This window comes from Homo sapiens, chromosome 13, assembly GCF_000001405.40.
Source record: "Homo sapiens chromosome 13, GRCh38.p14 Primary Assembly".
Classification (NCBI taxonomy): Eukaryota; Metazoa; Chordata; class Mammalia; order Primates; family Hominidae; genus Homo; species Homo sapiens.
In genome coordinates this window covers 96,293,976-96,309,870 of record NC_000013.11, presented here as the reverse complement: position 1 = coordinate 96,309,870, position 15,895 = coordinate 96,293,976, and the positions used below count along the sequence as shown (strand labels likewise).

At 35.7% G+C, this 15,895-nt stretch overlaps 1 protein-coding gene across 1 annotated transcript in view, besides 1 other annotated feature; it reads right to left on the bottom strand.

The window, feature by feature from the left end:
• Window positions 1-15,895, bottom strand: part of HS6ST3 (heparan sulfate 6-O-sulfotransferase 3) — a 749,456-nt gene that overhangs the window by 529,692 nt on the left and 203,869 nt on the right. The window lies entirely within an intron of this gene.
• Window positions 13,941-14,875: an enhancer, noted in NCBI's record as "OCT4-NANOG hESC enhancer chr13:96947250-96948184 (GRCh37/hg19 assembly coordinates)". NCBI's record gives its function as "activates a minimal SCP1, AML or CMV promoter by ChIP-STARR-seq in naive H9 embryonic stem cells {active_cell/tissue: H9 hESC(naive)}" and the evidence as "EXISTENCE:reporter gene assay evidence [ECO:0000049][PMID:30033119]".

Here is a 15,895-nt window from a genome sequence, read left to right as displayed (position 1 = left end):
TTCTTCTCATGTAAAGTTTCCTATTATAGTTAAAAATAAGGACACTGATGTGTTTTTAAATTTTAAAAAAATTGAATACAGTGTTGAATAGGAACATACGATCTTATTACATTTTTATCAAAGTTTAATTTAAATGATAAGAATAGAGAGAACATATGACAACTGACAAAATCTGGACTTTTTGCCAAAACAACTACTCAGTCATTAAATCTTATTTAAGTCACAGAGCTCTTTGAGAATCTATTAAAAGCTTTGATTCTCTCTCTCTGGAAAAATGCACATGCAAGCAACATTTTGCAAATTATTTCAGAGTTTGCATTAATGTTAAACCTATCTATGGAGCCCCAGCAGACTATAGAACTTGATTTAAGTAGCCTTGTTATATGTGAAAATTTTTCCACTAAGTAAACTAACTACTTGGGACAGGAATTCAATTAAATATTTCAAATAAATAAGCTAGCACCATCCTCCTAAAATGTTACATTTAAATTTTTATCACAGTCAGAAACCAAGTCATTTTTATCATCATTGATGTTGATTATCACCATTCAATTAGACAGTACCTATTGAACACTCTCTATGCCTATGCGCTATGCTTAGCATGAAACCAAGCAGATGCTAAAGTAAATGCCACCCCCTCCTTCTTCAAAAATGTATGGCTAAGTGAGAAAAACAAATAATAAAAACCAGAAGGTGGTAAACACTAAGAGTAGATGCAAGTACCATGGGATCCCGGTACACAACCTATAACAATATTAGAATAAAATTTGAGGAAAATAAATATTTGCAAACTATGCCAAGTGTGTATTTGATCTCAAATTCACTTAGAAAATATTTAAAATTGTTTTTCCACAGTTGAAGTCTATGTAAATATTTTGTACAAATATAGAGGAAATATGCCAAATATAATTTCTCTCCTTAACGCTAGACAAAGGTTAATTTTCCTAATCTTCCCAGGAAGTTTCTTGATTTCCTATCGGTAAAACTCTCTTCAGTCAACATGTGTATGCAATTTTCCCATTATAACAGACTATATCATGCGTACCACTAGACAGCAAATTGTCATGGATAGAATCTTTGCTTCCTAGAATAGAATGCATATTTATGAAGCTGTGAGCTTGAAAAGAACAAGCTAATCTTAACCAAACATGGCTGTTCAGAGGGGTTCTTGCTGAATACCAGACTTAAGAGCATACAGGAAGAAAGGAATAAGGATGGAATGGAAATAGAAGCAAGAATGAAAATGGTCCCTCAGAAATTACCTTCACCTCTACCTTTCCAGAGTTAATAAGATGGATTTAAATAAGTCTTTTCCACCGTTAAAGTCTTTTACATAAGTCTGCTGCCTGATGCAAATATCTACTCATTAATTACAGAGAAGAGGAAACCATGTTGATTATTTTAATGACCACTATATCTAATGTTTAAACTCAGGTGCCTGATTTTGGATATTGGGTTGCCTATATTTTGTTTTCTGACATTTAAAGCATTGTTCCAGTACCAGCAATAAATATTCTCTGTCTAATTATAATTATTTGACTAGGAAGAAATGAAATGAATCTGTTATTCTTCTTGAAGGATAATGAATACCAACCTCGAAGATCATTGCAAATGCTTTCAGTGAAGCAGTATATAAGGAATTGATTGTGTTCCTTTTAACGTAATGTCTAATGGTGTCAGTTAAGTAAAACGAAAATCATCTAAGGAATCAGTCCTCTAAATATAAGAATAACTATTTTCTTATAGACTGAAAAATATCCATGAAGTCTGGCACTATCATTTTAATAAATACTTTCTCTCATCTTACTGATCACCATATTAAAGTGGTAGTTAAATGTTATTACTTTTCAGTATTGATACCCTTGACTCTTCATCTTCTCTCTCTCTTTAAAATAAATTAGTTCTTCATTTCTCAACAACTGATGGAAGTAATGTAAATCCAAAAAGCAGCAATTATGCAAAAACTAAAGTCAAAACCGTTTTCTTTTTCCCCCACTCTAACAGCTTGTAAGCATAATTAATCAAATCAAGCTTCCCTCTCATCGTGGAGAGCTGTAATTTCAAAAAGCAAATTACAGCATCTTTACAGTAGCACACAGAAAGTATATTAAGAAAATACGTATATGAAATAGGAATTTGTTCTTGGTGATAAATTTCATTTTAATAAATCCCACTCTGTATCATGAACTAATATTCATATAATATTTACTGCCCATTTAAGAAGATATCTTATTACTAGAATTTTTAAATAACTCAAAATACAATAAATTATTTCCTATGTCACAATAAATCAATAAAAAGAAAAAAATTAGTAAACACCACAGGTTCAGAAGTCATCTCAAGCCTATCTAATGTATTATATTAATAAATATACCTCGGCAGTTTTTTTAACAGACTCATCAAAAGTAGCATTTAAAAAATCAAAACTGCCTATAGTGTTGCAAAATGTCCACAATTAAGATATCATTCATCTAGTGATGTAAGTTTCTTTTTTCCATATTTTCCAGGAATCATTTAATAATTATTCTCATTGTTTGCAGAAATGCGTGGCTATTGCTCTCTGTTTCGAGGATATGTTATGCCTATGTGTCCAAATAATTGCCTAAGATTATGAATGCAGGAAAAACACTCAAATAGTGATTTGCTACCCAAGACATGATATTAGAGAGCACACTTTCTTTCACTGAATCATCTTAAAATCCCTCCTCTTTCTTACTCTTTCTTAATGACTTCCTAGACTAACTGAATGTAGAAGACCAACAGAAATTTAATGGCACACTACCACTACCCTTTCCTATATCATTATTCCCCTGGGGGTCATACTGCTATTAAATCATCTATTTGGTGTATGAATTTTGGATCCTAACATTGATGGAGCTGTCTGAATCTCCTTTGTATTTACTTGAATCAGTGTTGCCTATCTGTTGTGCAGCCAATCCAGGATCAGCTCCAGGTAAGCCACTTCCAAAAGCTGCTTGGTATAAATGATGATGATGAAAATTATTTATTAAAGTCCAGCTTTCTTATCATCTAGAATTTTGTTCTGTAGGGAGGTAAATCTATTTTCTCTTGAAGATACAGAGCTAATTTATTTGACTGAAGCACTTCATGACAGCAATCATGGAACACAAAAAGAAGCTATCAATGTGCACACAGAAGCAAGAACACAGGCCGTGCACACAGGACAAGCACAGCAACTGACTCAAAAGATGAGCCCTTCCCCCAGCAGTCAGTGGGATTCTTCTGGTCTTCCTGGAAAGGATAAAGAACTTATGAGCACTGTCACTCTAAAAGGGACAGAATCTAACGCACCTTCATACAGGCCATCTGAAGCAAAAATAATTTGGATAAATTTTAACCAGCCGGGTGCGGTGACTCACGCCTGTAATCCCAGCACTTTGGGAGGCGAAGGCAGATGGACCACTTGACGACAGGAGTTAGAGACCAGCCTGGCTAACATGATGAAACCCCATGTCTACTAAAATATAAAAATTAGCTGGGCATACTTTGGGAGGCCGAGGTGGGCAGATCACAAGATCAAGAGATCAAGACTATCCTGGCCAACATGGTGAAACCCCGTCTCTACTAAAAATACAAAAATTAGCTGGGCATGGTGGCATGCACCTGTAGTCCCAGCTACTTGGGAGGCTGAGGGAGGAGAATTGCTTAAACCCAGGAGGCAGAGCTTGCAGTGAGTTGAGATCACGCCACTGTACTACAGCCTGGTGACAGAACGAGACTCTGTCTTAAAAAAAAAAAAAAAAGAAAAAGAAAAGCTGGGCATGGTGGTGCGCATCTGTAATCCCAGCTACTCGGGAGGCTGAGGTGGGAGAATTGCTTGAGCCTGGGAGGCAGAGGTTGCAGTGAGCCAAGATCATGCCACTGCACTCCAGCCTGGCCACTACGTGACACAGTGAGATCCTGTCTAAAAAAAAAAGGAAAGAAAGAAAGAAAGGAAATCTGGTACATAAATGTTAATAGAAATGAACCATGAACTCCGTCTCCAAAAAAAAAAAAAAAAAATTAACTAAGGGGGAAAGGCAAACAATGACCCAGATAACAATATATATCAAAGCAAGTAACAAATTGATCTTGAACCAACTATGTATGCCCAAGGTATAATATATACATTATGTATATTACTGTGGGACACATGTAAATTGCAGTAAAAATAGCTAATAATTATTTTTAGGTATAACTACTGAGGATGTTAAACTATTAATGATTTACATAAGACCCAGTATTAGATTCTAAAATTAGTCACATATTATTTATGTGAAGATAATAATGTAAAAAATGTACATTATTTTCATTTTCATACAGAGAAATTCTATATGGAATATGTATATTTACACAGTAAAATCTGTACAGATCCTACAGCATAAATTGTATAATTTGTGCAAACACAGAGCTGTCTGAAACTTGATGAGAAGAATAAAGCAAGTTAGAAAACTCCATAAATGATGCATTTTACATGTTCTTTGTATTTCAACAAAAATTTGCTATCAAACTTTATTGCCTATCAAAGAATATAAAGATTAAAATATTCATGAAGTATGGTAACATTAAATATTTACTTAGGGGATAAATATGAATTTTTCAGAAATATTTATAAATATATCAAGCAATTATGAATGATAATATTTGACAACCAAGTTTATCATTGTCAATAGTATTTCCCTAATTTTTTTCCAAAAAAAATCCATTAGGCTTCCTATTCCTAATAAGATCCATGTATACAATGGCTATAATTTAGAGACAGGAATCAATTTCAGAAGAATTATTAGATTCCTGTGATCTCTTGATGAATAAATAAATGTGGAAGGATGTAAATACAGAAAGCTCAGAGCAGGAAAATCATTAGAAAAACATCCAGTGGCTCATGCCTGTAATCCCTGCACTTTGGGAAGCCGAGGCAGGTGGATCACAAGGTTAAGTTCGAGACCAGCCTGGCCAATATGGTGAAACTCCATCTCTACTAAAAATACAAAAATTAGCTGGGCATGGTGGCAGGTGCCTGTAGTCCCAGCTACTCAGGAGGCTGAGGCAGGAGAATTGCTTGAACCCGGGAAGCGGAGGTTGCAGTGAGCTGAGATCGTGCCACTGAACTCCGGCCTGGGTGACAGAGCGAGATTCTGTAAAAAAAAAAAAAAAAAAAAGAAAGAAAGAAAGAAAGAAAGAAAGAAAGAAAAACATGCAACAGTGATTCTCATGTAGTTCAGTTTTGAAACCTTCCACATTATATATGTTATTCTCTTTCTTCTTCCTCAGGCAATCGGTGAGTTCTCAGTGTCCTCCAAAGACATCCCCAGCTCCAAAATGATCACCCTTTCACCCTCCCACCATCATCAGTCACATCAGTCACTCCTATTAACTAAGGCACATCTCCATTAGATGGTCCCTTGATTAGGCCTTGGCACTAATGTATAATAAATAATTTAATACTTCTTAAGACTAATCACATCTTTGATGCAAAGAAAGGCATTTTAAATCAAATACGTGTCTAATTAAAGAATTGAGAAGAAAATATTTAGAAGCACAGAAGACTCTGGTGCCTCTTTCTGTCTATTCTGGATGAGATGCAACTCCACCCTCAAAATAATCCAAGAAATAATCAATGACTAACCTAGTAACGTGAGGGCCAATCAAAACAGAATCTGCATGAGTAGAAAACATATGCCAAAATTGAAAATATTTGAAAGGTAAAAATCACATTTTTTTTTTTTTTGAGATGGAGTCTCTCTCTGACCCCCAGGTTGGAGTGCAATGGTGCAATCTCGGCTCACTGCAACCTCCACCTCCCGGGTTCAAGCAATTCTCCTGCCTCAGCCTCCCCCGTAACTGGAACTACAGGTGCACACCATCACACCTGGCTAATTTTTGTATTTTTAGTAAAGATGGGGTTTTGCCATATTGGCCAGACTGGTCTCGAACTCCTGACCTCTGGTGATACACCCACCTCAGCCTCTCAAACTACTGGGATTACAGGCGTGAGCCACTGAGCCCTACCCAAGTCATATTTTTAAGCTGAATCTTCCTAGTTCCAGTCATTAAATCTTAGGTGAATTCGATTAGATATTTATAAAACAAAGTGAAAAAGAATCACAGCCAAAATCAATGCAAAACTCTCACTCAATTCTTTCACAGATTTATTCATATATTTTACCTTCGTCTTTCCAAATACCTATAGACCTTGATATTTTTTCAGATCTCAGGCATCTTTCCTGTGCCATACAGGCCTGTGTTCCTTTGATTCTACCCTTGTCCAGAATGTTCATCTCTCCATTTTGTTTCTTTGAGTTCCTTAAAGACAGGGACTCTTCATTCATCCTTCCCAGCACAGCCCCCCACAGAATGCCTCAGGCAATAAATATTTGCTATTGAAATGAATGTAACATTTCACTTTCAGTTGGAAAGCAGAGTAACCATTTTGCAAAAAAGCAACACTTAGCCCCTTCTCCTTCCTGCAAAACTAGATTGAAAATAACATTTTGTAGCCCACAAGGTCAGGTCACAAAGGAATGGCAGCAGCCCAGATCTCTGCAGTCCTCACTAGATCTAAGCTTCTCTGATTCTTCAGCAAAAGAGTCAACTTGGATTTTGACCTTTCTTAGCCGTGCGAATTCAATATTCACAAAATTATTAAAATATAGACCTTTAGAGAAGTTTAGGCATCAACATTTCTGTTAAACATTAATATGAAACTGTATTTTCACTGAATTCATGCATTTTTAAATGATAGAAACTTCCAATTCAATACTCTAGAATAAGGGTCAAAAAACGTTTTCTGTAAAGGGCCAGAAAGTAAATATTTTAGAACTTTGCAGGCCATACAGTCTCTATCGCATTCACTCAACCTTAACACTGTAGCATGAAAATAGCCATAAACAGCATATAAGTGAAGGAGCATGGCTGTGTTCCAATGAAACTATATTTACAAAATAAAGTAGCAGACCAGATGAGGTCTAAGGGCCATGGTATGCCAACTCCTGTTCTAGGATAAAATTATAGGTATATAGAACCTTAAAACAAGAGATAGCACACTATAAATCATCTAGCTTAGCAAACTTTTAAAAAGTGTAATCATTATATTATCACACTTATTATATCTCAATATTATATATTATACGTATATTATTATCCTTTGAGAAATACATAAACAATATTTTATTGAAGAAAATTTTGAAATAGAAAGCAAAAGTTCTCTCTAATCTCACAACACAGAGATAGCTACTGTTAACATGTTGGTGTTGTCCTTATAGTCATTACATATAAATCCCATGTATATAAATGTCATAGTTTTCATATTATACATGCACTTTCTTGCAAAGTAATTATCATATTACACATACAATTTTGTGAATTATTTATTCAACAATAGATAAAGAGTTATAAATAACCATTTATCTATTTGAATACCTACTTATCCTTTTTATAAAGATTTACCCATATCCTTAAGTAATCTTCAAGGCTATTTTAAAAGGCTATGAAATTTTGTTATCATCAGCTGCATATGTAATAATTTATTTAATCAGTCCCTTAATACAATTTTTTAATTTCCAATTGTTATGCTACTATGAATAACTCAACAATGGATCTTTTTGTACATAAATCTCTGTAGGACAATCTGATTACTTCCTGATGGTAAATTCTTAGAAAGGGAGTTGGTAGTCAAATAGAGTTTTAGAATTTTTTTTAAAATTTTGTGGCCATTGATACATATTGTCAGGTTGCCCTCCTGAGAGGCTTCCTCAATTGATACACCTCCAGTAGTAAACTATTAATATAACCCCCACTGCCACCCAATCTTGTGATGTTCTTTTTCTTATACATGCCAATTTGATTAGCTTAATGCTATCATATTATAGTTTAACATGCATCTCTTCCATGAATTAAAAGGGTAGATATTTTTCTTACTTTTAGAAATTATTATTATTATTATTATTATTATTATTATTATTATTATTATTATAGATGGAGTCTCATTGTGTCTCCAGGCTGGAATGCAGTGGTGCAATTTCGGTTTACTGCAACGTCCGCCTCCTGGGTTCAAGCAATTCTCCCTGCCGAGTAGCTGGGATTAAAGGCACCCACCACCGTGCCCAACTAATTTTTTTTGTTTGTTTGTTTGTTGTATTTTTAGTAGAGATGGGATTTCACTATGTTGGCCAGGCTAGTCATGAACTCCTGACCACATCTGATCCGCCTACCTTAGCCTCCCAAAGTGTTGGGATTACAGGCGTGAGCCCCCGCACCCGGCCAGAAAATTATTTCTTATTTCATACAATTCAGATTTCATCTGAAAGACAAGGAAGATCCAGAGGCTCAGAGAAGTTAAGTATTATATCACGGTCACAGAGATAGAGAGAGACAGACTCAGGACCAGTACCCCAGTCTTTGGCTGATAGAGCAAAGCTTTCTTCCCATTGCACTTTGCCACCCCTACATTCCCCTTTACAACCTGAACATTTGGATCAGTCTGATAGGCCTCAAAGAATGTTCCTAGTTCATCTTATTACTTTGGCTTTAAGTGCGAGATAATCAATAAACTTTCTTTTCCCATTGTTCTCTCTTCTTGCCAAAGTGTTTCAGACCAAGGTATATAAGATTGGCAAATATTATGGTGAAATGTTTTATGTTTTGTTTTGTTTAACTGTATATAGGAGGAGGATTAGAAGTTAACATTGTGAATAAGAAATATATCAAAATATATATTGACAATTATTTCCAATGCAATGTGGGTTGTTCACAGAGATGACCATACATCTTGGTTTGCACAGGGACTAACTCAGCATACATCTCTTGTGCAGCATAATAGTTAAAGGCATCCTCTGTCAGTCAGACATTGTTTCATTTGAAAGAGAAAGCTAATCACAGACGAGAATCATTGCCCAGATAAGGCAAATGCCTCTCTCTTCCAGAACTCTAGACTTCAATGTCTTCCTTCTAATGGTACTTCTGGTATTTTTTGATGTTACGCAAAATGTTGTCCAATTAACATTCTTAAAAATATTTCTCTTGAGGTCATTAAGTTGTTACTATTATTAAACATCTTTCAAAGTAAATTAAACTATACATTTTTATCAATTTTTTAATTTGCAACCTAACAGAGCAAACATATTTTATGAACATATTAAGCTATATATTTTTAATATAAAAAGACATAAAGTCTACCTTTGATTCTTGATATTAAAAGAAAAACCCATAGAGTGACTTGATTTTTAAAAGCCAGATAAATGATTAATAAATATTCATCTTCTCTAAACTTTTTTTCATGAAAGAAAGAATATTCTCTTCTACTGATAAAATGTTCTGGTAAATTTACCTCTGTAGTAAGACTTCTGATATGGTTTGGCTCTGTATCACCGCCCAAAGCTCAGATTTAATTGTAATCCCCAGTGTTGGAGGAGGGACCTGGTGGGAGGCGACTGGATCATAGCCATGAATTTCCCCCTTGCTGTTTGCCTGCTATTGAGTGGGTCAGGAGATCTGGTTGTTTAAAAATGTGTACCACGGCCAGGTGTGGTGGCTCACTCTTGTAATCCCAGCACTTTGGGAGGCCGAGACGGGTGGATCACCTGAGGTCAAGAGTTTGAGACCAGCCTGGCCAACATGGTGAAACTCCATCTCTACTAAAAATACAAAAATTAGCCAGGTGTGGTGTCACACACCTGTAATCTCAGCTACTCAGGAGGCTGAGGCAGGAGAATTGCTTGAACCTGGGAGACAGAGGTTGCAGTAAGCCCAGATCACACCACTGCACTCCATCCTGGGTGACAGAGTGAGACTCTGTCTCAAAAAAAAAAAAAAAAAAAAAAAAAAAGTGTAGCACTTTTCCCTTCGCTTTCTCTCCTGCTGCCATGTGAAGACATGCCTGCTTCACCTTTGCTCTTCCGCCATGATTGTACGTTTTCTGAGGCCTCCCCAGCCATGCCTCCTGTAGTCTGTGGAGCTGTGAGTCAATTAAACCTCCTTTTTAAAAGATAAATTACCCAGTCTCCAGTAGTTCTTTTTAGTAGTGTGAGAATAGGCTAATATAACTTGTTCATATCATAATTTGGAATATTTTAATTTTCTGGTCTGGATTATCCCATTCTCCCCTTCCTTCAAAACGCCAATGTCACAGTGAATTTTTTTCTTCAGTGCAAACTTGAGTATACCACTCTGCTAAATGTTTCATGGACTCCTGGTAGACTTCATGCTAAAGTGCAAATATATCACTTATCCCCCAAGTTCTTTCATAATATGGACTTGCTGCCTCTAGAGACTTTCCTTTTGACACTGGATCCAACAAAAACATTGCATGTTCTCTCATGCTATTGTGCTTTTCCCACTCTGTTCCATTGTTCTGGAATGCCCTTCACAGTCAATTCCATCTGGTGGCCGTTTTCTCTATGCATGGTGACTTTTACATTACCTTCAAGACTTTGCTCAGGTGGCACCAGTGGGGAGCCCTCTATGAACTGGATCAAGTACTACATCTAGAAGTTCCTTGTCTGCAAAATCCCATATCACATCTAACACATATTTATTCAGCTTCCGCCATGTGCAAAGCATTGTGCTAGATGCCAGGAACGAAGCAGTAAATGAGACAGGTGCAGTCCTACCTCCGTAGACTTTTGTATTCAAACTTACATTGTGTCACCATATTTTCATTGTTGCTTTATTTGGTTACTGCAACCAATAGATTGCGAATTCTACGCAAGCAGCGACTCTCTTGTCTTTGAATTTCCCTGTGCCTGGATTAAGGGCTGAAATTAAGGAGTTTAATCCACCATGAGAAATAGCCCAAAGAAACAGTACATTTGGACTTTTCATTTCCCTAGCGTAAAAGATCCAGAAACAATTACTGAAACAGGGTACCTTTAAACTTCTAGCTTACCTAAAAGTTAAATATTCCAAAATACATTTTTCTCTACTACAACTGAACTTACAAATTTAAAAAGGATATTGCTTTTCCTTTATCTCCAACAGGTATTGGTAATCCTTTTTTCCTGCAATATAAAATTTCTTCCACTTAATTCCATGTATTTGGTAGAAGTAAAGCTGCATGACAAAGAATAGGTACTCAGCTTCACTTCTGCTGAGCTGTTACTTTCTGCCCTTAAAATAGGCAGAGGACACAGAGGTCAAACACGATAACCTCATTCTGTGTGACAGGTCAACTAATATCTACAAAGCTGAAATGGAGTTCAGTAATAAAAAAATTTTGCAATTGCTGTAGAACAATTTGGGTGCTGCTTTATCTTGATTTAGGTAGCAGACTATTAGAGATGTCTCAGGATTCAAAGAATGTGCACAGGAAGAGGGCAAGGCATTCAGCCTCAGAGAATTCTCTGTGAAATGAACAATTACAAACCCGGGTGTCTGATCTAAGTAGTGTTCTTTGCCAACGAGCCTAAAGAGAAAACTTACTTTATACTATTTATTTCAGCAGGAAGGCTTCTAAGAATGTGTAACTGTAGATTTTGCCTTAAGCCCATTTACTTTTCCCATCTTTCAATTTCACCATTTCCTTCCTCCCATCACATGCTATGTGTTTTGTGTGTGCACACGCCAAACCATGCTTATCTGAGTGCATACGCATCTCTGTTTACTTAATTTGAAATTATTTCCTTTCTACTGAAAATCCTGACATCTTATCATATAAGCAGAGCACAAAGAATCCATGAAATTACTACTATTAAATAAGACAGCTCTCTGTATGTAAATCTAGCAAGCTGGACCATTTCAGTAATTATCTAAATACAACATATCTAACCAGTTAAAGTAAGAAATTAATTACTTCCCCATCCTAATCCAGAATTCATTCATGGAAGAGCCAAAACAACAGGTTTTTTTTCTTAAGAAATTTTTATTTAAAATAAATATAGTTTTGTAAATAGTTTTTAATAAAGTGTTCAGGCTTGGAAATAAGTTATTCCACTCATTCATTCATTCAAGATGCATTTTTTGGTGCATGTACTATATGCAAGATTGTGTGCTAGGCATTGTAGGGAATAAGAGAAGCTGAATTAGCAGTAAATTGTTACCAAGAAGCTCCTCTATGAGTATGCGAGCTTATGAATGCCAGTAGAAGTGATAATAAAATTTTATAGGAGTGCAGATGAGGACATGGGCATTGCATACTGGGGAAATCACAAATGCCTTCATCTGGGACACATCTTTTGTCTGGAAGCTCAAAAATGATTACAAATGAGGGAGAGGAGAACTATACTTAGAAAAAAGATTATTGGGCAAGGTAGGGAGTAAGCAAAACAAGGGCACAGAGAATGATTCCATTTGCAGGGACCACTCAGGGAAGGAACAGTGTGAGAACTAACGCTGGCAAAGTGATTTGGGAGGAACCCTGCTGTTCCTGGAACACCAAAGAGCTTTTTCACTTTAACCTACACGCTACAGGGAAACCACTGCAGGTTTTAAAAGATGGATTAAGAGTTCCGCTTTGGTTTAATTACTTTGATAGGAGAAGCAATATTTCTTTCCCTGAGAAGAGTGGCAGAGAAAGAAAATAAGTGAAAATGTAGAAATAGAAAGGAGGAAAGAAAACCACCTCAATGTGCACAGTAAAGTAAAATGGTCATTGTGGAAAACTAGTAGATAGGGGAGAAACTAGAAACCTGTGCAGAAAGGGAAAAGTTCATTATAAAGACTTATGTATTTATTAGAAATACTTCAGATAAATAGGAAAAAAAATAGTTTGAAATATAGTTTAAAACAGTAAAAAACAGTTAGTTTGAAATATAGTAACTAGGGACCCAATGTGATAGGCCATTGAAAAAAATGCTAAAGAGTCTGTAATATAGCAAGCCATGGGAATCTAACAGAAGGGTTTTAATTGGTTTGGGACATGATCAAACATGCATTTTAGCAAGATAAAGTTAGGAGCAGTATTGAGAATAGACCAGAGAGGAGACAAACTAGAGACCACAAAACTAGTTTGTGGGTGAAAGCTATAAACTAGGCAAGAAATGTTGGTATCCAAGGAACTGTGTTAATAAATTAAAGTATTATCAATTTAGAATAAAGAGAAGGGACGATATAGCAAAATTGGTGGAAATGTTCCTGGTAAAACATTCGAATGAAACTATAAAGGTTTAAAAGACATTTTCTTATTATAAAAGAGATATAACTTGGGAAATTTAAAAATGCCTGAACCCATTCATTCAATGTGGGTAGAAAAATGAATATCAGGGTAACATAATCAGGATCTCATCCATTTAAAGTCATCTTAACAGCTATATAAATAGTAAATTATTTTGTTAATTTTATAAAATACTAAAACAAATAGCCTGGAAAAATGTTAGCGTTTTCTAAACACTAGGAATTTTGTGCCAGCTTTTCTCACCGTTGTTCTGTAGTTCACAATCTACAGACCACCATCACTTTCCCAAGAGTCTATTCCTGTGATTTACCCAGGTATTTAAAAAACATTAGCTATGCCAAGAACCCATTCTGAAATCAAAGTCTAATCTCTCACCCAAAGATTCAATGTTAAGCTAGAAGTAATGGGAGCTGATTGCTCCTCTAGGGAGGAGCTGATACTTTTGATATTAATACTGTAAATTTAAAGGAATCCACAAGCTCATTGGAGAAATCCTTTTACAAGTGTAGAGTATAAATAGAAACTCTGTAGTGTATAGGTCAGTCTGGTATTTAAAATTCAGGACAGTGCTGTCCAGTAGAATTTTCTGCAATTGGGAGAATGTCCCAGGTTTTCATTTCCCAATGCAGGAGCCACCAGACACACGTGGAGCACTTGAAATGTGGCTAGTGCGAATGCAAAACTGAATTTTAATTTTTGTTTAATTTTTATTTAAATGTAAATAGTATATATGGCTAGTGGCTCCTGTACTGAGGGCCCAGGACTAGACTAGACAATGGGCACACACTTGGAAACCCTATCTCAAAGATTTGATAATAGCAGAAAATTCTATTCACATGTCTCCCAACGAAGCAAAGTAGGCCCTCCATTAAGCATTTGTGTATGGGAAACCAATGCCCCTCCTATGTGTGTAACCACAGTCATTCTTCCCTGACAATCAGCGCATCAAACCTTGATGTTTCCTGTTCCAAACTCAAGTCAGCAGCTAACATCAGACATCCTTGTTAACGTAGTGTATGCTGATGCTTTCCATTTGATACTTACCAGACACCAAAACTGTCCAGAGAACAGAAAGTATAAACACAGTGTTCAATAAAGCCTGGCAGGCTTTTAATAAGACACACGGGAGCATACTAATCCAGATTTTTGTGGGCAGATACTTCATAAAAGGTTAATCAAAGTGCTGGGCAATGGGGAAACACCTGGATCGCGCTCAGCACTATTTTTTAAAGAGAGCTCAACATCTGTACTGAAGCCAGGATTGCTCAGTGGGGAGAACCCTCAGCCCTTAAAAACAGAAATCTTTATTTAAACAGAAAGATTTGCAATTGCATCAACTGTTGTTATGTTAACATGGCTTCTCCTCAGCAACTGCTTCTAAATCACAATGACACTTGGAAAAAAAACAACAAGAAACACTTCTCTATTCTGATATTTAAAATGTTTCTTTAAAAATGTAAGAGGTGAGCATAACCTATTATATAATAAATATTATCTCTGTTGAAAACTAAAAAAGGAAAACATGGAGGTATTATTATCAGCAAATCTGTAAGGTTTCAATGGAATCATTTTCATTCTATTATATGTATCCTGTTTAAAAGGTACAAAATACCTAGCCATGGCCATCTGGTGAAACAGCTGCGAAGTAAAGCCCATTCGTTGATCATCCTCTTGTAATTGTTACCATGGCCCTAGTCTTAACCACATACTATTTTTTAAAACCTGACTATAAAAATCCAGTGGTTTTGTTTCTTGCTATGACTCCTTTAACATAACTAATTCTATTTACAAAACTAAGGAAGGAAATTTTAAATTATAGAGAATTATAGCAATGCTATTAAGGATTAGGCAGGGTTTCCATCACATGCGTTCATTCTATATCACATTTATATAAATACACTCTCCTCATTCAGAAAAAAACCCATGTTCATTACCAAGATCCACGTTTTTATTACCTAAAATATTCAGTATAAAATATCAGCATATTTTAAAAGAATCTAAATAGTTAAGTTACCCTACAAATGGTCAAAGATAATAAAAACAGCCTGGTTTAGTCTTTTTTATATAAGCATATAAACTTATAATCATGGCCTTTTTACACAAAACTCTAATATGAATACTATTTCACAAATTCCTTCACCAACCTATATTGTTCTATTTAAGTTAACTCCTCCTCTGGAATGAGAAAATGAGTGCTGTCCAGTGGAATCTTCTACAATGTGGGGAACATCCTGGGTTTGCATTCCCCCAAGCAGGAGCCACTGGCCACATGTGGTTATGGAGCACCTAAAATGTGGCTAGTGTGACTGCAAAACTGAAAAAGAAAAACTTCCTTCTTTTAACTTGAGGTATTGTTGGTGAACCAAGAAATAATGTTGTAATAACTTCAGCTATGCTGAATTATTTCTTTATACCATACACTAGGAATATAAGTGTATAGACTTACTGCCTGAAATATCAACAGAAGGTATTCAAGATACCTATATAGAAATTGCTCTGAAATTAATCTAAATGTTGTATTGGTAACAAATAGTGACCATAATATCGGTTTCCTAAATAACCATTCACACTTAAATAATGTGTATAAGTAATTCTCTGCGTAGAAGTCTCTCTGTGTAATAAGAGAGAATTATTCCTTTCTTGCCTAGAGACAGGAAGAAAAAATGCCAATAACAGCTTTACCAAATCCATCTGAGCTTGATAACCCAAGAAACGTAATGTCATTCCTCTAGACATTAATGGTCCTATTATCGGCTCCCTAAGCCACAATGGATCTATAGATCTTAAATT